The following is a 25,454-nucleotide window of genomic DNA, read 5'->3' on the forward strand; positions in this document are numbered from 1 at the left end:
TCACTGTCCAAAATAATTTCAACCTTTTTCTGCCCAAGCATATTCTATCAGATCATTCTGCCTAATTTCCTTCAGAGCATTGATCATTGTCTGGAATTATCTTGTTTATGTATCTGTTTCCTTTTTTTAACTTGCTATTCAAAAGCTATATGGTAGAAGGAGGGAAGGCAAGAAGGAAGAGAGGAAGAAAGGAAGAGAAGGAAAGAAGGAAAAATTGAAGGAAGCAAAGAAGGAAGAAGAAAGGGAGGGTCATAGGGAAGAAGGGAGAGAAAGGGGAATTATAAAGTGTGTGTAGGTTCTGGTTAATACCTGCTTAAATTTAAGACTATCAGGCAAAAAGAACATACACAGTGCCCTTCTTTCACCAAGATGTGTAAAATCTTTTTCTGTTTGTTTGTTTTGAGACAGGGTCTCACTCCGTCACCCAGGCTAAAGTGCAGTGGCGTGATCTCAGCTCATTGCAACCTCCACCTCTGGGGTTCAAGCAATTCTTGTGCCTCAGCCTCCCGAGTTGCTGGCCACATATCACCATGCCTGGATAAATTTTTTTTTTCTTTTTTCTTTTTTTTTTTTGTATTTTAGTAGAGACAGGGTTTCACCATTTTGGCCAGGCTGGTCTCGAACTCCTGGCCTCAAGTGATCCACCCACCTCCTCCTCCCAGAGTGCTGGAATTACAGGCGTAAGCCACCTGGCCCAGAGGTTAGATTTTAAATTAACTAATAAAGTGTAAATTAGAGATAGTTAATATTATCATTGAAGAATGCTTATGTCACTGTAAAATAGTGTACTCATGGTTTTATGTATACAATTATACAGTGCAAGTATTTGTAAATGTATAATAATGTATCTATAATATGCACTCTATAAAATAGTACATATGCAAAATATAATTTTATAGTATATAGTCATGTGCAACATAATGACGCTTTGGTGAGTGTGGGACCACATACGTAATGACAGTTCTATAAGATTATAAAATTGTAGTTTTACTGTACTTTTCCTATGTTTAGATACACAAATACTTACCATTGTGTTATAGTGCCTAAGGTATTGAGTATAGTGACATGCTATATAGGTCTGTAGTCTAGAAAGCCATAGGCTATACCATATAGTTAAGGTGTGTAGTAGGCTATGCCATCCAGGTTTGTGTAAGTCATCCTATAATGTCCACACAATGCCATCACCTAACGATGCATTTCTTAGAATATATCCCCATCATTAAGTGGCACATAACTGCATTAGATATACCATTAAGTCACTATATTCATTTCTTGCTCTTTTTAAATTTTTTTGCCCTGTTCACATGGTTGAATTCACATATGAGGCAACTTCAATTTTTCTACCTCATGGAGCTGTTGTGAGCAACAGATGACATTGTGTCTAACTGGAAAATTACTAAATCTATATATGATAGAGGAGATGATGACAATGAAGGAGAATATTGATACTGATGACGAAAATGATAATGAAGATAATAATAATAAATGATGGTGATAAAGATGATGAAAATGATGAAGATGGTGAAGCTGACCAGAATGATGATGATGAAAATGATAATGATTTGAAGACTTCAACCTCATTCAGCTTCCTCAGACTAGTATTTATTATTGTAAGGTTTTCCATGCTGACAAAGAGGAGGAAAATTCCAATCATAAGACAATATTCTTTCTATTAATCAACAAAATTAAAATAACATTATTTTATAATATTATTATATACAAGTATAGGTTATGATACTTAAAACATAGAAACTGCAACTCCATCTTTGATTTAATTCCATTTGAGCGTGTCAAGCCTAATATACTCTAATCAGAACCTCCTGACTTTGATAGGGTTAAGCCTTAAACATATATACCAAAGTGCTTTTGTCTGCATTGATGTGAAAGATCAGTTAGAACAACATTATTTTGTAGTTATAAGACTTCAAACCACAGTGAACTTTAGCTCCCTGAATGACTCTTCAGATGTTTAATATCGTTCTAAAAATGTACAAATGTAAGAGCAGAGAGCAGATTAGTGGCTGGGAGGAGAAAATATCCCTGATCAAGGATGAATGATGGGCTCTTTGTATAAAGTTGCACCAGGTCTTTCCTTTCCTCAGAAAACAAATTGCGTGGTTGGTGATTTGGGCCATATCTTCAGATCATAAACGTTTTTCTGCAACAATACAAAATATGCATTGTTACAGTCAGATGAGATTTTTAAAAAAGAGTTGACAAAATACTTTAAAAATAACCTATTTAAGTATAACTTTTTATTATGGAAATTATCAAACACATACTAAAGTAAAAAGAAAAGTATAACAATTCCCCTTGTACCTCATCATCTAGCCTCAACATGTTGCCACTTTTATTTCATCTTTGACTCACTAATCCGCCCACTCCCCATCTTGTTTTTCCTGGTATATTTTAAAGAATATCCCAGACAGGCTGGGTGCAGTGGCTCACGCCTGTAATCCCAAGCACTTTGGGAGACCGAGGTGGGCGGATTGCCTGAGGTCAGGAGTTCGAGACCAGCGTGGCCAACATGGTGAACCCCGTCTCCACTAAAAGTACAAAAATTAGCTGGGCGTGGTGGCGGGTGCCTGTAATCTCAGCTACTTGGGAGGCTGAGGCAGGAGAATCGCTTGAACCCGGGAGGAGGCAGAGGTTGCCGTGAGCCAAGATCACACCATTGTACTCCAGCCTGGGTGACAAGAGTGAAACTCCATCTCAAAAAAAAATCCCAGACAGTGTATGATTTCACTGTAAGTTATTCAATATATATCTTTATAGAGTAAGACTTTAAAACAATGTAGCTCTATATTAAGGATAATTTCTTAATATCTTAATTCTTAAGAAATTAAGAAGGATTTCTTAATAATATAAAAAACAATTATAAAACTCTTTTAAATAATAGCAGTGCTGAAAACTATCAGAACACCTTGCCTTAGGCACAAATCTGTTCTTACTAGCTCTGGCATTGGTGGTTCAGCTTGAGCATCCTATTGCACCCTGAGTTTGGCAACATGTGTTGGAGTTATTATATTACTAATGGTATAGATCAGGCTTGGCAAACTTCTCTGTAAAGGGCCAGATAATAAATATTTTCAGCTTTGCTGCCCATAAGGTCTCTGTCATGACTACTCAACTTTGGTGTTGCAGTGCAAAAGCAGGCACAGATAATATATTAAATGGGCGTGACTGTGTGCCAATAAAACTTTAATTATAATGAGAAGAAGAGGGCTGGATTTGGTCCTTGGGCCAGAATTTGCTGACCCAGGCTCTGAATAAGGTAATCCAATTCCTTCCCAAAGGGGGTTGGCAGACCCTGGGGCCATCATTACCTTGGAGAGTTGAGTATGTTGCGATTGAAAAGCAAAGCATTAGGATTCAGAATACCCAAATTCCACATCTCTCTAGCATTTGGAAACTCTTGAATAGGCCACTTGCTTTTTGGTTCATGGTTTCACATTTATTAGATGAAGATAGAGGCACCTACCCTTCTTGCTTAACCAGGTTTTTGCAGACCCAGAAGCCCATGGTTATGGAAGTGTTTACTGAGCCATAGTTGGCTGCTGCAATACGAGGCATTCATTATCCACCATACATTGTAAGTCTGGGTGGTTCCCAGGTAATGATTCTTAATTATATTTTTATCCCTCTTTTGCCATTTTTTGGGGGTTCCAGATGTAACAATAAAAAGCAAACTTAAATTCACTGACCACTTCTACATATATGACAGGGACAGTAGGACCAGGGAGTTTTATATGCATAATTTGATTAGTCAGGTATTATTACCTTGCTTTTTAAAGGTGAAGACACTGAGACTGAAAACAAGTAATGGCCTAATCCCTGTTTTCTTTTTCTTCTTGAGACGGAGTCTCGCTCTGTCACCGAGGCTGGAGTGCAGTGACACCGTGTTGGCTCACTGCAACCTCCGTCTCCTGGGTTCAAGCAATTCTCCTGCCTCAGCCTCCTGAGTAGCTGGGATTACAGGCTCCCACCACCACGCCTGGCTAAGTTTTTTTTTTTTTTTTAATATTTTTAGTAGAGACGGGGTTTCACCATGTTGGCCAGGCTGGTCTTGATCTCCTGACCTCAGGTGATCCACTCGCCTCGGCCTCCCAAAGTGCTAGGATTACAGGCATGAGCCACCCCGCCCAGCTGGCCTAACCTCTGTTGAGAGTGAGTGTCAGGGTCAGGATTTGAACCCATCTTTATCTGAGTCCAAAGCTCTTGAACTGTATGTATGTCTAGTGACATTGAGGGTGGACAGTCACCTTTCTCTATTTTGCCACATTACCAACTAACCCTTTAGTAGTTTTCATAGTGCTTTCCACCAACATTAGCTCATTTAATCTTCACAGCAGTGAAGCTATGCAACTCACTCAAGTCATCAACCTGAAGAACCCCCACTTATTCTCAAGGACCATGCTGAGCTGTCACTTATTAAATCACCTAGACTGAGTCGGGTTCCTGTGTCAGATGCTTTTACTGTCACACCTTGTATTTGCTTTGTGATGCACACTTCATTACTGTGACTTAAGTGTCATCCTACAGAAAACTTCATGAGAGCAGAAACTATGTTGTTCTTGCTTGCCACTCTATTACCACCCCTGGCCCAACAGTAAATATCTGTTGAATAAGTGAGTTTCTAAAAGTCACGGGGTGGAAGCTGGATGATTCTGAGTGGTTTGCAACATAATAGTATTTATCGCACTGTAAGTTGAGCTGGTCATGTGAACCATCCAGCAGGAAGCTTGTTAGGAATTCCAAGTCAGTGACTCTATGTCTGGGAGTGCTAGAAGTGATAGACATCCGGTCTATCACCAGCTTCTCAGATAGGCAAGTCATTCTTCTTGCATAGAGAAACCTGGAGGCATCAGAGGTCGGGTGGTGCTCAGGTTACAGTACTTTGGCGCAGGTACGGGAGAGGTGGTCCCTCTTCTGTTTGGAAATGTGAAGCGCGTGTGTGTGTGCACGTGAACGTGGTGGACAAAGGCTACTTCCTCATACTATACATGAAAGGGCCATAGGAAGATAATCAAAAAGGAAAAGAAAGGTAAGAGTTGTTGCAAAATGAATTGTCTTCAGAGGCTAAATGGGTAACATACATTTGGGGGAGGGCTGAATATAAGAAAGAGAATATTGATGCAAACCACAGTGAAACACCATCTCATGCCAGTTAGAATGGAAATTAAAAAGTCAGGAAACAATTAAAAAGTCAGGAAACAACAGATGTTGGGAAGGATGTGGAGAAATAGGAATGCTTTTATATTGTTGGTGGGAGTGTAAATTAGTTCAACCATTGTGGAAGACAGTGTGGTGATTCCTCAAGGATCTAGAACCAGAAATACCATTTGACCCAGCAATCCCACTACTGGGCATATACCCAAAGGATTATAAATCATTCTACTATAAAGACACATGCACATGTATGTTTATTGCAGAACTGTTCACAATAGCAAAGACTTGGAACCAACCCAAATGCCCATCAATGATAGACTGGATAAAGAAATGTGGCACATATACAACATGGAATACTATGCAGCCATAAAAAGGATGAGTTCATGTCCTTTGCAGGGACATGGATGAAGCTGGAAACCATCATTCTCAGCAAACTAACACAGATACAGAAAACCAAACACCACATGTTCTCACTCATAAGTGGGGGTTGAACAATGAGAACACATGGACACAGGGAGGGGAACATCACACACTGGGGCCTGTCGGCGGGTGGGGGGCTGGGGTAGGGATAGCATTAGGAGAAATACTTAATGTGGATGACACGTTGATGGGTGCAGCAAACCACCATGGCATGTGTGTATACCTATGTAACAAACCTGCATGTTCTGCACATGTATCCCAGAACTTAAGGTATAATAAATAAGTAAATAAATATATAAATAAATAAAAATTAGAAAAAGAAAAGGCAGAGTATAACAGTTAAAAAAAAGAAGAGACAATGATGAAGTCTTTAGTGATCTAGAGAATCCATATTCACCCTAAAGACATTTAAATTCAACATGTGAAAGCAGGTCACTTTGTAGACAAGACACAGGCAGGCACAAGGCTGCCCGTGGAATTCAACTTTGCAATTCCCCAGAAGATGGAGATAGGGAAGGAGCGATGACAGCAGAGAGGAGAGGATGTGACACAAGAGAAATGATTCCTGGGCAGATCGTGATTCCTGGATGATCCCTATGGGCTTCATTTCTTGAATTCACACAGATACCCTTCTAGTCTTAAGACAGTAGTATGCAGAATTCCACCCACAATATGGTATTATTTGGTAGTAATTACATCATCAAATTTTCATTCTCATGCACTATGTATGATAGGTTGGGACTAATTCAGTGAAACAAGGACATTTTCTTATGGCCTCCTGTGATATTTCTAAATGAAGGTGGCTGATTTTTCAGCTTACTAAATTCTAAACAGATAATTGGAATAATACTGATGTTTCTGGGTGCTTTTATTCACAGATTTTCTTCTTCCTTACATTAATTTCTGATTTGGCTTCCAGAGTATGTACAGGCCATCGTGCTCCTCTTATCTTTAATTAAGGTCTTTGCCATTTCTCTTCAGCAGAGTCTGAGCAGGTAATGCCAGGGTGCCTGAGGACTCTGTGGGCACCTCGGTTAATGTTGGGCCATGCTAGAGTCACAACGTGTGCAAGAGTCACTTATTGGGCCGGACCTTCATCTTGTGTTTAATTATCTTAAACGTTGCAGGCTCAGCCTTTCTGTTTGCCATGGTCTGTCGGGTATAGAGAATGTTGATGGAGTTTCCTTTAGGTTTCTCCAAAGAGCCAAAAGTTAGACCCTTATGAGGCTACTGAAGCCAAGGGCTTCGTGGCAGGACTGAGATTCCAGAACTGGATAAAAATTACCCTCTAATCCAGCACTTGCTTTTGCGAATACATCCAGAGGCAGACAATTAATTGAACCAATTGTTCAGCAACATGGATATTTAGTGGGCGTGAACGCAGAGGATGCTTACAGATGAAAGCTTGGAACTGTTTTCTTGCTCTGTGTGTTTGGGGACGGGTAGGGGAAGAAACAAATGAGCACAGAAGCCTCCTCCTCCTTGAGTAGGATAAATATGGCTTAGACTAATAAAATACAAGCTGGAATGCACCATTTCCTATTCCCCAAACAGGCGTCCTGGCAGTTGAAAGCAAGGAGAGGAAGGAAGTCTTTCATGAGAAAGGAATTGGGGAGTGGAGGCATTGGGGCTTCACGTGGTAGTTCTCCTGATTACTGACACCCGCCTGCTCCTAACAGCCCATAGAGCTACAGCCACCAACTCCCAAATTTGTCACTGTCACTTCACAAGTGCCCGGCATTGTTCAGGAAATTGTGTGTGTAAAGTAGAGCTGCCTGCGCCCAGCTTCGACAAGGGAGCAGCCTTGCGAAGGTGCTTGAAACCGAAACAGAGGCTTATGTATCCTATTATGTGCCTGAGCAGGAGTCATAAATAATTGTGACAAGTTTTTTTTCCCATCCCACGTGACAGTCCTTGACTCTGCCTCCTGTCTCCTCTCCCCTCTGCCTCATAGACTAGACTTGCCAGGCTGAGTGATGATAGATGTTACCAGGCAGCAAATGACAGCTGGATAGATTTTTTAGTTGGTGCTTTAGAGGGAATCAGATATGCTGTATAAAGCAATAAAAAAAGTACACTCACAAGGTGGGTTAAGAATAGCCAGCACAGCAGTAACCCGCTTTGTTGTGTATCAAAAGTTAAATCTCACATGGTCTTAGTGATGTGTTAATTTTTCAGACTCCTGTCAGAGTGACGGTGAGGACAGTCACTTTAAAAAAAAATTTAAGAAAAGGATAAAAGCAATCAACTGTTTTCTTAGTATATTTTGGTTTTTCAAATGAGACAAAAGCGTTCTCTTTTTAAAATCATATCTAAGAAGAGAAATAGGATTCTGGTGTTTTGCCGTATTGCTGTATTGCTGTATTGCTGTATCCTTCTCAATCTCAAATTTAAAACATAAAATTGGAGATGTGTAAGGTGTGGAATTATTCAGCCCCTGTTCAATTAAATAAATTTTTTTTTTAACATTGCTCATCTTCTTCCACACACTGTATTGATCTAGATTCTGTGTAACAAATGGTCTGGTTTCCCAGCCACCTTGGAAATGTCATGTAGGAGTCAACAAAACTACTTAGTGTATTTTTTATAAAGAATTACAGCCTCCTCTGAATTACTCAGACTTTCATCTCGGGCAAGCCGGCTTGGCTACCTCGTGTCTCGATGGATATGCAGAGCTACCAGAACATGATTCAGTGAACTACCCCACTCCCTGGTTCACGGACGTGACAGGCTGAGACGTACTTAGTCATCGCATTTCTGTCTTCTCCTGCACTATATGGGAAGTGGCTGCTGTGTAATTTAAGAGTGCTCAGTATATCAGATCACGACTCTTTTCCCCCTTGATTTTTCTGATGAATCACGTTAGGAAGGCTGTGGCTTTTACACGGCAGCGTGCAGCATGAGGAGGCAAGGCAGCACAAAATGTTTATTAAAAAAATATGTCTTTCGGGCTAGGTACCAGGCAAGGGGGGTAATTTGAGTTACGCCTCTATAATTCAAATTTGGGGATAATTCAATACTGGTGTAGTTACATTTCCAGCCACATCAAGTTGTACATGTATTATTGGGTGTTGTTTATTACTTTGGTTGTAGCATTCTCTCCATAGGACAATTTCCATAATGAAACCTATTTTCTATGGCTTTATCACTTAACGGGTTCAGTGTTTTTCTTTTTTTCCAGCAGACATGAATTGATGAGATATATGAATGCCCAGAAAATGTCATGAAATAGTTAAAAGGGTAGGTTTGGAGATCTGCTGTCTAAGTTCAAATCCCAGCTTGTCTTCTTACTCCTTGGGTGACCTTGGGCAAGTAATTTAGCCTCTTTATGCCTCCAGTCTTTTAACTGGAAAATAGGGATAATGATAATCCCCCCATCATAGGGTTGTTTTCAGGACTCAATGAAATAAATGTGCTTAGTACAATCCCTACTAATAGGTATTGAATACATATTATTTTAGTTATTATAATCATTATGATTGAGTTGTTATAATTATTACTGGGCTAGTTTCCCCCAGGCCACCTACATCTCCTCACTTCAGGTCTTTCCAGACTTGATGACCATATGTTGGATGGGTGGATGGAAAGTTATTTTAGGAATGGAGCCCTCTTTGTGGTTAAATGAACAGTAATGTTTTACATTGGTTCAGAGTAGTCTTTGATAAGGATGCATATTCTGTACATCACTGATACTACTTTTTGGACCATTTTCATCTCTTCCTCATTTGAAAAGAACCTTCAGTGAAATGCTTTATGTGGACATGGCAGGTAGAGTACCTGGATTCATCGATCAGTTCTTTTTCTGTTCTTTCTCTCTTGCTTGCCATTCTAGCTACCTAGGTAGACCTTGTTGGCTTATAAACATAAGTCATAGGCAGGTTCTAATATGATTTTAGAAACATTAAAAAAATTGGACTGTGATTCACAGTAAGGAATACATTTTATATTGTGACCCAGGGTGCACGTGCATGCATAATATATAGACATTTTGCTGAAGCCAGTGCTCCATGAAACATCAATTATCCTTCCCACATGTGTGATACACTTTGGCATTTTCTATCCTTTTCTATTTCATTTGTTAAAAGTGATGCTTTAGGTCAGGCAAGGTGGCTCATGCCTGTAATTCCAGCATTCTGGGCGGCTGAGGTGGATCACTTGAGCCCAGGAGTTCGAGACCAGCCTGGACAACAAAGTGAGACCCCTGTCTCTAGAAAAAAAAAATAGCTGGGCAAGGTGGTGCGTGCCTGTGGTCCCAGCTACATGGGAGGCTGAGGCAGGAGGATCACTTGAGCCCTGGGCAAGAGACCAAGACTCTGTCACTTAGAAAAAAAAAAAGTGATGCTTTAACCAGGGTGAGCAAACTTTTTCTATAAAGAGCCATAGTAGATATTTTCAGCTTTGAGGGCCATGGAGTTCTTGTTGCAGCTACTCTACTCTGCTGTTGTAGCCACAGACAAAACACAAAACAATGGGCATGGCTGTGTTTCAGAAGGACTTGACTTACAGACACTGAGGTTTAAATTTCATATAATTTTCTTGTGTCACAAAATATAATTCTTCTTTTGTTATTATTAAACCATTGGAAAGTGGAAAAACCATTCTCAGCTTGCAGGCCACACAACACCATGCAGTAGCCAGATTTGCTCGATGGACTGCAGCTTGCTAATCCCTGCTTTAGCCCACGAAGCTGATTTTTATGACTTGTACTTGCAACACTCTTCTGGGACATTTCCCAAAGTGACTGCGAAGGGACATCTGTTTAGCAGGGATTCAAATGGGTGCTAATGGAGAGAAAGCATCTCTCTTCAAGTAGGTTAGTGACCCTTCAGAGTAAATAAAAGGTGCCTACCTCTTAGCAGAAATTCTGTGACTCTTTAACATACCACCAGACCTGATAACTTTCTTTCTTTCTTTTTTTTTTTTTTGAGATGGAGTCTCACTCTGTCACCCAGGCTGGAGTGCGGTGGCGCAATCTCGACTCACTGCAACCTCCGCCTCCCTGGTTCATGCCATTCTCCTGCCTCAGCCTCCCGAGTAGCTGGGACTACAGGCACCCGCCACCACACCCAGCTGATTTTTTATATTTTTAGTAGAGACGGGGTTTCACCATGTTAGCCAGGATGGTCTCGATCTCCTGACCTTGTGATCCACCCACAGCCTCTCAAAGTGCTGGGATGACAGGCCGGGTGTGGTGGCAGACCTGATAACTTTCTAAGAAGGGTACAATAAGGCATACTCTCTAACTGTGTGACCACAAGACGCTTATTTTTGGAAAATATCTCTGGGTCTTGAGTTCTGAGGAATGCACTCAGTGGAACTCTGTCTCGAAGCAGAAGTCTGGGGAAGGCCGCCCTGTTTTAGTGACGGCAAGCATTCTGTGTAGACATCACAGTGTTTGCCACTGAGAAAGGTCTTTGGCGATTATTAGCCTCCCAGTGAAGGAACACATTTTGGGATCTCCTGTGAGCACAACACTGCACAAAATATATGAAAAAAATGATGAGCCCAATCTTATTCCCAGGGAGTTTATAGGCAAATTTGAACTTGGTTACAGGCAACATGTCAACAAGCACAAACTAACATGGTCTCGTTTAGACTGAAGACCCAGGTGTTGGTGATATCACAGTAGGTGATAATAATGATAATATCTAGAAGCATTTTCTGTTCTCTCATCATCTTTGCATATGTCATGTCATTGATTTTAACAAGAGCTATGTGATTTGGTGGGGCCAGTGTTTACCAGCCCATTTTACAGGCAGAGATATGAAACAATGGCTTCAAGTCATACTGTTACTGAGGCGCCAAGTTGAGGATGCAGGTCTTCCTTAGAATTCCTGTAGTTTCCTCTAAAAATAGTGGAAATACTTTGAAAAGGAGGAAAATTTGCAGTGGGATCTCGAAAGAGCTCACAGAGATTGATCCTTAAGAGAATCTGGAGGATGCAGAGGTGTGTGTGTGTGTGTGTGTGTGTGTGTGTGTTCACACGTGTGAGGTTGATTTTGGAAAAGACACGGGTAGAAATAAGTCCTATGTAAGAGAAGCAAAGCCTTTTGACAGAAATATCAGTAGTTGCTAATTTAAAAGCAACCAACTAACCAATAAAGTAACCCTTTAACCCCTAACACTATTAGAGATTATTCCAAGTTAGAAATCTTGAATTCAACTTTATAGTACCTCCTAGTAGCAATTCTGAATCAGCTTCCTGTTTTGGAACTATGGGAAGCCCCACTCTAAAACTATTTGAGAAAAAAAAAGTGCTATGCAATCCTTTGGCATTGAGGTTGATATTAGCCAGCAATGCTTGAGAAGAGCAGGAATGGTGTTCCCATTAAAAGACAAATTAGGGTCAGGCGCGGTGGCTCATGCCTGTAATCCCAACACTTTGGGAGGCCGAGGCAGAAGAATCACTTGAACCCAGAAGTTTGAGACCAACCTGGGCAACATGCAGAAACCCCATCTCTACAAAAAAATAGAAGAATTATCCAGGCATGGTGGTACATGTCTGTAGTCCCAGCTACTCGGGAGACTGACTTGGAAGGATCACCTGAGCCCAGGGAGGTTGAGGCTGCAGTGAGCTGTGATTGTGCCACGGCACTCCAGCCTGGGCAACAGAGTGAGACCCTGTCTAAAATAAAATAAAATAAAATAAGATAAAATAAAAAGACAAATTAAGCAGTGAGTCTCTTTCTGCTTCTGTGTTTTCCCCAAGAGAACTTTCATGGAAATACTTTTGTTTTGCTTGAAAAAAATACTTTGGCAGCTGTGAAAAAGTTACTGCAGTTCAATAGGATGTAAATAAAAGAGGCCCTGTCAATTCAAGGTTGTAATTTGACAGTGCACCATTATTTAGACGGAATATTGAAACGAGAGTAAAAATGACTTCAGGTCATGGTACTACTTCCAATTTAAAGAAAATTAAAAACTGCTTTGAAAAACTGTGCTGCATATTTAAAACTCCTATCTCCTAGTTGCTGGGGGTTAGATGTTCCACACGGCACCTGGAAATCTGTCAATATTAATAGGTATGATGATTCTTACTGGCATATGCTTATCATCTACAATTTTGATAACAGCGTTGAGTGAATCCATTGCTGTTTTCTGGCGTTTGCAGTGTACATTGAGGAATTAATAATTAGTGAAAGTGTAGCCAACTTCTAGAATTAGCAGTCCACTCAGAGATGCCCAGGTGAACAACACGCTGCTTCCCTTTGTCATTCAGGTCCCAGAGAGATTCCTCCTGACAACTCTATCTACAGCGGCCGCCATCCTCAGTCATTCCTTAGCTTGTTGCTTCATTTTATTTCCTTCTTGTTTATGTGTTCTTTTACATCCTTACTGTCCATCCCCTCCACAGTGTCAGACCCTTGAGAGGACAACCTGTGCATCTATACCCAGGGTCAGCAAACCATGGCCCATGGGCTGTATCTGCAAGCTAAGACTGCTCTTCACATTTTTATTTTTTATTTATTTTATTTTTAAATTTATTTCTGAGACAAGTTCTTGCCCTATTGCCCAGGCTGGAGTGCAGTGGTGTGATGACGGCTTACTGCAGTCTCAACTTCCCAGGCTGAAGCAATGCTCCTGCCTCAGCCTTCGAAGTAGCTGGGACAACAGGCATGCACCATCATGCTTGGCTAATTTTTCTTTTTTTTTTTGTAGAAGTGGGGTCTTGTTATGTTGCCCAGGCTGGTCTCAAATTTCTGGCCTCAAGCAATCCTTCTGCCTTGACTTCCCAAAGTGCTGGGATAATAAGGGTGAGCCACTGCACCCAGTCTACATTTTTAAATGGTTGAAAACAAGCAATATTTCATGACACATGAAAATTACAAAATTCAATTTTCAGTGCTCATAGGCAAACTTTATTGGAACACCACCAGAGTTATGTGGTTATGCATTGTCTATGGCTGTTTTTGCACAACATACATAGATAGTTGAGTAGTTTCCCAACATGATATGGTCCCAAAAAGCTAAAATATTTAGTACTGTGCCCCTTACAGAAAGTGTTCACTGACCCCACCCTGTGTCCGGCACAATGCCTGGTAATTCATAGGGGCCCATTAAATGCTATGGATGAACTAATGAGGAGCAGAGCTTGGCAAGAGCTATTTCCAAGTGTCCCTTCCCTGCTGCCAATAAACAAGAAGGAGGAACAGATGAACCCAAATTAAATACTAACTCCAGGTTCTCAGACAATCACCAAATCTAAGAGGGCAGGTGGAGTCTGCTCGGAAAATTTGCTTAACATTTCTTTAAAAGAGATGACAAGGTACGGTCTCAGGAATTCATGGTATCTCAGGTTCCAATTTCTAAAAACTGAGTACGTTCAATTTTCCTTTGGTCTAATATGTTTTCTCTACCCCAGCTCTTCCCCACCTGCTTTTGATGTGTAATCTGACTGAAGACTGAACTCTGATTTTTACCACCCTAAACTCAGCTGACCTCCCTTCCAAAAAATGTCAGCCTCTTAATCCTCTTAATAAAAAGGCCCATGTAACTGGGAGAATACATTTGAAATAGTCCACAGTACAAAAAGACGGTCTGAAAATAACAAGGGGAAAAAAATGTACTAAACGCATCTGCACACACACAAAGTTGCCAGGGAAACATGGCAATCCCTTGCAAACTGCCAGCACCGTCACATTTATAAAGAAATGACAACAACTGACCTTTGTCTCCTCTTTTCCTGCCTGCCTTTTACCAGGAACAGAAGAGCCTTGTGGCTTGAATGATGCTTTTGATAGGCAGATTTTCAGATTCTGTGCTGTCTGCCTGGATGAGGGGTCCCGGTTTACAGCTCTGCTGAGAGCTAGAAAATCTTTTATGACTGTCACCTCCATTATGACCTAGTCTGTGCAATTGAAAGGTGCATTTTCACATTGGAATTTGGCTTCTATAGTCCTGAGGAGAAAAATGACATATTTTGTTGCATTATTTAAATATTCCTGCTGAACAACAAATTAAAAATATCCATTAAAGGTTTATTTGATATCTTCCTAATTATTGCCCATTGCGCATTTGACAAATTATTTACACATTTTAATAATTGCGACTTTCTTTGGAAGTGACACAAAAACAATTACTTTTTCGAAATTCCACTGTGTATATGCTTTTGAAACTACATAGCCATTAAAAACAGTCTGTCGAATTAAAGGTTGGGCAATTAATTAAGTGCAAATTCTGTAAAACTGGACCAAGGAGAAAATTCATCAAACCTATGAAATATGACCTATCTTGTCCAAAAGACAAATATGTTTAAACAAAAGATGAAAATTGATGACAAAATTATGGGTAGCAAAATGCACACAGAGCAAATATAAGACAGCTGTACTTGGTTTCAGAGTGTTGGGTTTACCCTTACAGAATTCATGATTCATTACCTTCACCGTCTTGTAAAACTTTTCCTAGTTAATCTCCAAAGTACTGTATCTGGGATAATAAAAGTTCTCAATAAGAGCTTGGAAGGCCATTACATTAATGATTTGCTGGCCTTTGCGGGATCCCAATTAAATGCAACCCAAGTTGAGGCTGGTAGCCTAAGGGTACGTCTCCCTAGGACAGTTGAAAGCCACTTTGCCCATGTGGCTATTTTCTTTTGTTTCTCTCTTTGTGCCTTCCTTACACCAATTTTCAGTGTCGAAAGTTTCTATTTCCCTTTATCTAGAAAGTACTCTGCCATTATTAAGACTTTGGCTCTTACCATGAGCGACAAGCCCTGCGTGGGTTTCGAGTATATAGCAGGGGACACCAAAAGCCAGAACAGCGGTTCACATGTGTGTATCCATAATGGGCCCTAGACATGTGTATTACAAGTTCTGGATGTTACCCTTAGGTGCTCAGGTTCACAAATCAACATCAGCCCTGGTGCAAAGTGGGCGGAAGAGGGAGGTGGGTTCGCGGACTGTGGGGATTGTTAAGGATACACGGCTGTTATTTCCATATTAAAATGTAATGATCTCATTAAAGTTAAAACCACTGTTAAACTTGATTGAGTAAATTACTTAATTAACCATAGCATCCAGTGCATTCCTCCAGGGTATACCTCTATTCCTCAAGATGCAGAACAAATGCAGGCTCAGCTTATAGAATGTTATCCAGGGTGGTATGATAACACTCATCTTAGACTGACTTATTTCAGAATCTGTTAAAAAATTCAGAATCTGTTAAAAAAACAATGAAAAGCGAGAAAGTGAGGGTGTTACTCGGTGTTAAAGGAAGATGGGAATAGCCTACCAATGAAAGCAGATATATTTTATTGTTAGGCTGACATCTCCGAAGATTTTCTTGATTAAAAAGAAAACCACCTGATAAGCAGTTTGTGGAGCGACTGCTTTAGCTGGTTCGACAAAGCATTTCCTTTTTCTCGCATATTCTACCTTTCTCTCCTTTTCTTTGCTTGAATATCCAAAGATATCTCCATGGGGTTGGCAGAAGCTCTTCGAAAGCTTTGTTTGGGGTTGTGTTTGGTTAAGTGACTCTGAATTGGGGTTGCAGTGAGTTTTTGTGGGTGAGTGGGTGGATGGGGGAATATTTAGGAAACATCTCCAATTTGCCTGCCCAAAGCCTGCTTTTTGAAATATAAGGGTTTTTTGTTTGTTTGTTTTGAATGACTACCTGTGACACAAGTGGCCAACCAAACTGTACTTGAAAGAAGTAAGTTGTCCCAATTTCTGGTGTTTCTTGGTTTTTGCAAATATAGCATAAGGATAATAATAACTGACTACTTCCTGAGGTTGTCGTAATGGTTACGTACGTGAATATACGTAAAGTGCTTAGAATAGTGATCTGTTCCCAGGAGGTATTGACTATTATTATTATTCCTAAGCATAGGAAAGGGAGGGGGCAGGGATGGAGAATGGTCCAGAAACAATGCAGTCGGAACTCTTGGTCAGCAGATCACCTCCCAGACAAGCTTTTTCTTGGCTGCTGAGTCCAGTTAAAGAGGCCAGGGATCCCCAGACACTTAGTAGCCAGAAAACCTGGGTTTTGTTTGATTTTTTTTTTTTTTTAAATATGTTTTCCTCTAACCCAGTGTGTTGCTTATATCAGAGCCTGGAGTGGAGAACTGTGCTGGGGTAGGGTCTTGCTGTTGCTTGCATAACGTTTGCCATTTAGAAAGATAAGTCTTGCAAATCCCATCTGCAGAGGGATTAGAACTAAACTTAATAAAGCAGAAGCTGAACACAACTGGAGTAACCTTCTTATGCCTAGTTTAATATGGTGCCTTTGTAGATAGACATCTTTTAAATATATTTTTATATTTTAGATTTTTTTGGATTAATCCCAAAAGAAGAACTTGAGGGATTTCAAAGAAAACTATTTATTTGGGAGGTTAGGGCAGGAAACATAGCGAAAGATTGAGAAAGTGGCATAGAGAAGGGAAGAAATCCAGTATATAATTTTAAAACTATATAAACATATAAAATGGTTTCCAAAAAGGAAACCAGGTCAGGATAATTATTTTCTAAAACTAGTGGTTTAGAATAAAAACCAGATATCAAGATATCTCCTGAATTGATACTCATCACAACTCTAAACAAAAATGAACAGTACTTACTGGGCATTTACACTGTGGCATAGAAAAGCCAATTCTAAGCCACTACATAAACTCATTTTAATAACTGTGAGATGGATGTAGATGCTTCTATTATATCCGTTGTATAGATGATGAAACAGACACAGAGAGGTTAATAAAATTGCCCAAGCTTACCAAGCTAATAAGGGGTAGTGTTTGAATTTGAAAGAGTTTGACTTAAAAGCCCATATTCTTACCATTCCACTAGTTTCAATTTCACTCTCTAAAAGGGGAAAAATCCTCTTACATTAATATGCCTTGCTTAAAGATGTGACTCAGGAGAAGGCATAAGAGACAAAGAAAGATAGCCAAATAGAAGCTTCCGGCAATCATCTGCCCAAAGGAACACCAAATTAAACAACTATCCACACACCTTCATAAGAACCAAACATTAGGTGAGCAATCACAGTACCTGGTTTTAACACCATGTTAAGGAAAGAGGCACCAAAAAGGGTGGGAAAGACAGTCTTGAATCACCTACACCACTCCTCCTACATCCCGCGGCAGCTGCCCTGGGGTGTGGAGAGAGCATCTGTGCACTTGGGGGAAGAAGAGTGTGGTGACTGTGGGACTTTGCATTGGAACTCAGTGCTGCCTTGTCACAGTGGAAAGCAATATGGGGCAGAACTCGGCCAGTGTCCACTGAAGGAGCATTTAGACCAGCCCTAGTCACAGAGAAATTGCCCATCCTAGTGATTAGACCAAAGTTCAGGCAATCTCCATGACCACAGCAAAATCCTCCAGCATACTAAATGAACTTGAAAGGCATTCTAGGCCACAAGGACTGAAATTCCTGGGCAGGTCCTGGTGTTGTGCTTGTCCTGGAGCCAGTGTACTTGAGGTGCATGTGGCCTACTGAGACACCAGTGGGGGTGGCCAACAGAGTGCTTAATCACCCTTCACCCAACCCCAGGCAGCACAGCTCATGGCTCCAGGAGACTCCTTCCCTCTGATTTAGGAGAGGAGAGGGGAAAGTAAAGAGGACTATGTCTTGGCAACTTGTATACCAGCTCAGTCACAGTAGAGTAGGACACTAATCAGAGTCCTGAGACCCCTATTTCAGGCATCACGACCATCTAGGAAAACATGACCTTACCAAAGGAGCTAAATAAGGTACCAGTGACCAATCTGGGGAGCAGAATATGTGACCTTTTCAGACAATTCAAAATAGCTGTTTTAAAAAAGCTCAATGAAACCCAAGATAACACAGTGAATGAATTCAGAATCCTATCATATAAATTTAACAAAGAAATTGAAATAACTAAGAAGAATCAAGCAGAAATTCTGGAGCGGGGAAATGCAACTGACATACTGAAGAATGCATCGAAATTTCCAGCAGCAGAACTGATCAAACAAAAGAAAGAATTAGTGAGCTTGAAGACAAGCTATTTGCAAATACATAGAGGAGACAAAAGAAAAAGAATAGAAAAGAATAAAGCATGCCCATAAGATCTAGAAAATAGCCTCAAAAGGGCAAATATAAGAGTTATTGACATTAAAGAGGAGATAAAGAAAGAGATCAGAGTAGAAAATTTATTCATGGGATAATAACAGAGAACTTCTCCAGTCTAGAGAAAGATATCAATATTCAAGTACAAGAAAGTTATGAAATACCAAGCAGGTTTAACCCAAAGAAGACTACCTCAAGACATTTAATAATCAAACTCCCAAAGGGCAAGGATAAAGAAAGGATCCTAAAAGCAGCAAGGGAAAAGAAACAAATTACATATGAAGGAGCTCCAATGGTTCTGGCAACAGAATTTTCAGCGGAAACCTATGGGCTAAGAGACAGTGGCATGACATATTTAAAATGCTGAAGGAAAAAAAAAACTTTAGAATAGTATATCTGGTGAAAATATCCTTCAAACATGAAGAAGAAATAAAGACTTTCCCAGACAAACAAAAACTGAGGGATTTCATGAACACCAGACCTGTCCTACAAGAAATGCCGAAGGGAGTTTTTCAGCCAGAAAGAAAATGACATTCATGATCAATAAGAAATTATCTGGAGGCACAAAACTCGTTGGTAATAGTAAATACACAGAACAACAACGAATATTAGAACACTGTAATTGTGGTGTGTAAACTACTCATATTTTGAGTAGAAAGACTAAAAGATGAAACTATCACAAATAATAACTACAACAACCTTTCAAGACATAGGCAGTTTAATAAGATGTAAATAGAAACCACAAAAAGTTAAAAAGCAGGAGTTGAAATTAAAGTGTAGAGTTTTTATTAGTTTTCTTTTTGTTTGTTTGTTTTGCAGTCAGTATTAAGTTGTCATGAGTTAAAAGTAATGGGTTATAAGATATTTACAAGCCTCATGGTAACCTCAAATCAAAGAATATACAACAGATACACAAAAATAAAAAGCAATAAATTAAAGCATGTCACCGGAGAAAATTACCTTCACTAAAATGAAGACAGAAAAGAAGAAAAGATGGAAGAGAAGACCACAAAACATCCAGAAAGCAAATAAGAAAATGGCAGAGTAAGTTCTTACCTATAAGTAATAACATTGAATGTAACTAGACTAAATTCTTCAATCAAAAGACATAGAATGGCTGAATGGATGAAAAAAATTAGACCCAGTGATCTGTTGCCTACAAGAAACACAGTTCACCTATAAAGACACACATAGACTGAAAATAAAGGGATGGAAAAAAGTTATCCCATGCAAATGAAAACTAGAAAAGAGGAGGAGTAGCTATACTTATATTGGACAAGATAGAGTTCAAGAGAAAAACCTATAAAAAGAGACAAAAAAGGTCATTACATAAAAGAGTAAATTCAGCAGGAGGATACAACAATTATAAATATATATGCACCCAACAGTAAAGCTCCCAGATATACATGAAGCAAATATTATATTATTATTAGAGCTAAAGCGAGAGCTAGACTCCAACACAATAATATCTAGAGACTTACACCCCACTTTCAGCATTGAACAGATCATCCAGACAGAAAATCAACAAAGAAACATTGGACTTAATCTGCACTAGAGACCAAATGGACTTAATAGATATTCACAGTACATTTCCCTTAACACCTGCAGAACACAATTCTTCTCCTCAGCACATGGATCATTCTCAAGGATCGACTATACATTAAGCCCCAAAACAAGTCTTAAAACATTCAAAAATTGAAATCCTATCAAGTGTCTTGTTTGACCACAATGGAATAAAACTAGAAATCAACAACAAGAGGAACTTTGGAAACTATACAAAAACATGGAAATTAAATAATATGCTCCCGAATGACCAGTGGGACAATGAAAAAATTAAGAAGGAAATTTAAAAATTTCTTGAAATAAATGAAAATAGAAACACAACACATCAAAATTTATAGGATACAGCAAAAGCAGCACTAAGGGGAAAGTTTATAACAATAAGTGCCTACATCTAAAAAGCAGGAAAACTTCAAATAAACAACTTAATGATACATCTCAAAGAAATACAGAAGCTAGAGCTAACCAAACTTAAAATTAATAGAAGAAAATAAATAATAAACATTGGAGCAGAAATTAAAGAAACCAAAAAATACAAAAGATCAGTGAAAGCAGTGGTTGATTTTTTTTGAAAAGATAAACAAAATTGACACACTGTTTGCCTAAGAAAAAAGAGAGGAGACTGAAATAAATAAAATCAGAGGTGAAAAAGGAGAAATTACAACTGATAACACAGAAATTCGAAGTATTATTAGAGGCTCCTATGAGCAACTATATGCCAATAAATTGGAAAACCTAGAAGAAATGGATAGATTCTTAGACACATACAACCTATGAAGATTAAAACGTAAAGAAATTCAAAATCTGAACAGAGCAATAACAAGTAATGAGATCGAAGGCATGATAAGAAGTCTCTTAGCAAAGATAAGCCCAGGACCTGATGGCTTCACTGTTGAATTTTACTAAACTTTTAAAGAACTAATACCAATTCTACTCAAAGATTTCAAAAAATAGAGGAGGAGAGAATACTTCCAAACTCATTCTACAAGGCCAGTATTATCTTCCTGCCAAAAACAAAAGACATCAGAAAAAGAAAACTACAGTCCAGTATCCCTGATGAGGATTGATGCAAAAACCCACAATAAAATACTAGCAAACAGAATTCAACACCACATCAAAAAAAAAAAAATCATTTGTTATGACCAAGTGGGATTAATCCAGGGATGCAAGGATGGCTCAATATATACAATTCAATTAATTTGATTCACTCTATCAACAGGATGAAGGGCAAACACCACATGATCATTTCAATCGATGCTAAAAAAGCATTTGATAAAATCCAACATCTCTTTATGATAAAAACCCTCAAAAAACTGGGTATACGAGGAACGTACCTCAACATAATAATATCATACTGAATGGGGAAAAACTGAAAGCTTTTCATCTAAGATCTGGAACACAACAAGGATGCCCAATTTTATTATAATTATTCAGCAAAGTACTGGAAGTCCTAGCTAGGGCAATCAGATAAGAGAAAGAAATAAAAGGCATCAAATTTGAAAATAAGAAGTTAAATAATCCTTGCTTGCAGATGATATAATCTTATATTTGGAAAAACCTAAAGACGCCACCAAAAAACTATTAGAGTGGATAAACAAATCAGTAAAGTTGCAGGATACAAAATCAACATACAAAATCAGTAGTATTTCTATATGCCAACAGCAAGCAATGTGAAAAAGAAATTGAGAAAGCAATCTCATTTACAATAGCCACAAATAAAATAAAATACATAGGAAGAAAACAAAAAAAGTGAAAGATCTCAATAATAAAAAGTATAAAACATTGATGAAAGAAAGAGGATAACAAAAAAATGGAAATATACTTCATGTTTTCATAGATTGGCAGAATCAATATTGTTAAAATGTCCACACTACCCAAAGCAATCTACAGATTAAATGCAATCTCTATCAAAATACCAATGACTTTCTTCACAGAAATAGAAAAAAAAATCCTAAAATTTATTGAGAACTACAAAAGACCCATAATAGTCAAATATATCCTGAGAAAAAAAGAACAAAACTGAAGTAATCACATTACCTGACTTCCAGTTATCCTATGGAGCTATAGTAACAAAAGCAGCATGGTACTGACATAAAGACACATAGACCAATAGAACAGAATAGAAAACCCAGAAATAAATCCATGCGTCTTCAGTGAACTCATTTTTGACAGAGGTGCCAAGAATATACACTGGGGTGAGGACAGTCTCTTCAATAAGTGGTGCTGTGAAAACTGGATATCCATATGCAGCAGAATGAAACTATACCCCTATCTCTTGCCATATACAAAAACCAAATAAAATGAATTAAAGACTTAAATCTAAAACCTCAAACTATGAAACTACTTAAAGAAAACATTGAGGAAACTCTCCAGGATGTTGGACTGGGCAAAGATTTCTTGAGTAATACCCCACAAGCACAGACAACCAAAGCAAAAATAGACAAATGGGATAACATCAAGTTAAAAAGCTTCTGCACAGCAAAGGAAATCATCAACAAAGTGAAAAGGCAACCCACAGAATGGAAGAAAATATTTGCAAACTACCCATCTGACGAGGGATTAATAACCAGAATACATAAATAGCTCAAACAACTCTGTTGGAAAAAATCCAACGACCTGATTTAAAAATGAGTAAAAGGTCTGAATAGAGATTTCTCAAAAGAAGTCATACAAAGGATAAACAGGTATATGAAAAGGTGCTCAATATCCTTGATCATCAGAGAAATGAAAATTAAAACCACAATGAGATATCATCTCACCCCAGTAAAAATGGCTTTTATCCAAAAGACAGGCAATAACAAACGCTGGCAAGGATGCAGAGGAGAGGGAACCCTCACACACAGTTGGTGGGAATGTAAATTAGTACAACCACTATGGAGAACAGTATGGAGGTTCCTCAAAAAACTAAAAATAGAACTACCACATGATTCTGCAATTCCACTGCTGGGTTTATACCCAAAAGAAAAGAAATCAGTATATTGAAGAGATACATATCTGCACTCTCATGTTTATTGCAACACTATTCACAATAGCTAAGCTTTGGAAGCAACCCAAGTGTCCATCAGCAGATGAATGGATAAAGAAAATTGTGGTACACAATGGAATACTATTCATCCATAAAAAAATGAAATCCTGTCAATTGCAACAACATAGATGGAACTAGATGTCATTATGTTAAGTGAAATAAGCCAGGTATAGAAAGACAGACTTAGCATGTTTTCACTTATTTGTGGGAGATAAAAAAGTTCAAGGAATTGAACTAATGAGATAGGGAATAGAAATGGTTACCACAGACTGGGAAGGGTGGGAGGTAGTTAATGAGTCAAAAAATATAGTTAGAATGAGTAAAATCTAGTATTTGATAGCACAGCAGGGGGACTACAGTTAATAATAATTTATTGTACACTTTAAAAGAGTGTAGTGGGATTATTTGTAACATACAGAAACAATAAATGCTTGAGGTTATGAATACCCCATTTACCCTGATGTGATTGTCATGCATTCTATGCCTGTATCAAAATATCTCATGCACTCCATAAGTATATACACCTACTATGTACCCACAAAAGTTAAAAATTAAAAAAAAAAAGAGAATGCAACTCAGGAGTCAAGTGACCTGTGTTTTAGTTCTAGCTCTTTAATTATTACATGTGTGATCACTGAAAACATTATTTACTCTCTCTGAGCTTTCATGTTCTTATCCATAAAATGGGAACAATAGGAGCTGCTGTCTGCAGGCAGGTAGTCGCCTTGCCCGTATCTCCGTGGCTCACCTTGGAAGTGCCCTGCTGATCAGAGGACATTCCCTATACCTGCTAATAGCTTCTTACTTCAAGCACCAATGTCTCCCTCCTTGAAGGCTTTCTCTGACTGTAAGAGGCAGCTCAACCTGCACGTGGGCAAGTTGGCAGTGCTGGGGGTGATACCCCCAGGAGTGATCTGCAAATGATAAGAGGAGCTGGTAGATAAACGTCCCAGCCTCCTCACCACCCCCACACCCCCAGGGAATGATTCTATGTTCCACTCAGTCTCCCAGAAGGTCTTCCGTTGGAGTGAGTTCCAGACATCCCCAGGGGTAACTAGCTTGTTACACACCCTCTATTGGCTTTCCTCCCATCCTGAGTCAATTTCCCAATCCTTCACTATGTTCCTGCCCTACATTCCCAAATAAAGAGCTTCTTTTCAAATCCTTCAAGTTTCTCCTTTGGGGAGAACCCAAACAAAGATGCTCTCAGGATTGTGGTGAGAATTCAATGAAACGATGCATGTAAATAGTTGGTGCCATATCTGGTGTGTAGCAGATACCGTAATAACCATAAGTTTTATTACCTACGATGATTATTATGTCAATATATGAATTTTGACTGTAATGGGGAAGCTGTAATAAAGAGTCTGACTCTAGAAGTGAGACAGGGACACATGGGTGAGGAAGATCAGGTCCAGATAAAATGGAAAGATTCTGTAGGAAAGCATATGAGGGTCCCCAAAAATCCTAAGGATACTGCTCAAGACATGCCTCCACTTCCTGGAATCAACAACACAAATGCCCATCAATCAACGAGTGGATAAAGAAACTGTGATTACATATATATATATGATGCAATGCTACTGAGCCATAAAAAGGAATGAATGAATAGCATTCACAGCAACCTGGATAGAATTGGAGACTATTATTCTAAGTGAAGTAACTCAGGAATGGGAAACCAGACATCTTATCTTCTCACTCATAAGTGGGAGCTAAGCTATGATGATGCAAAGACATAAGAATGACACAGTGGACTTTGGGGACTCAGGTGGAAAGGGTGGGAAGGGGGTGAGGGATAAAAGAATACAAATTGAGTTCAGTGTATACTGTTCAGGAGATGGGTGCACCAAAATCTCACAAATCACCACTCAAGAACTTACTCATTTAACCAAATATCACCTGTTCCCCCAAAACCTAAGGAAATAAAACATTTAAAAACAAAGATAAAAGAGACATTTCTCCATTTCCAGAATATTCCTTGCACATGACTTTGTTGAGGGGACAGCAGTCTGGTGAAGTTGCCAGGCCTATTGATTCCAAATCCATGAAACTGGTGATTATTTAGTGAACAGCCTTTGGCCAAGAGGAAGGAGACATGTGACTGGCATCCAAATCACAGCACTTATTTCGTGCTCCTGGGGATGTCGTTTTTTCTTGGTTTCTACAGAGATGAGCATTAGGATTTTAAGGATGAGTAAAGGGGTCTAAAGAAGTGTCATGGAAAAGGGAAACCAAGGAAAGGAGAAGGGAAGAAAAAC

General features: G+C 39.1%; 2 long non-coding RNA genes and 1 pseudogene across 4 annotated transcripts in view; 2 read left to right on the forward strand and 1 right to left on the reverse strand.

Moving 5' to 3' along the window:
• Positions 1 to 25,454, forward strand: part of LOC105372666 (uncharacterized) — a 483,513-nt gene that overhangs the window by 275,462 nt on the left and 182,597 nt on the right. The window lies entirely within an intron of this gene.
• On the reverse strand, positions 1,955 to 14,487 carry LOC124904931 (uncharacterized). Its single transcript, XR_007067654.1, has 2 exons — positions 14,256 to 14,487; positions 1,955 to 2,158 (listed from the first exon to the last, which is right to left on the reverse strand). It is a non-coding gene; the product is annotated as an uncharacterized LOC124904931 (long non-coding RNA).
• MRPS33P4 (mitochondrial ribosomal protein S33 pseudogene 4) lies at positions 25,195 to 25,446 on the forward strand (annotated as a pseudogene).

This window comes from Homo sapiens, chromosome 20, assembly GCF_000001405.40.
Source record: "Homo sapiens chromosome 20, GRCh38.p14 Primary Assembly".
In the NCBI taxonomy this organism is placed as follows: domain Eukaryota; kingdom Metazoa; phylum Chordata; class Mammalia; order Primates; family Hominidae; genus Homo; species Homo sapiens.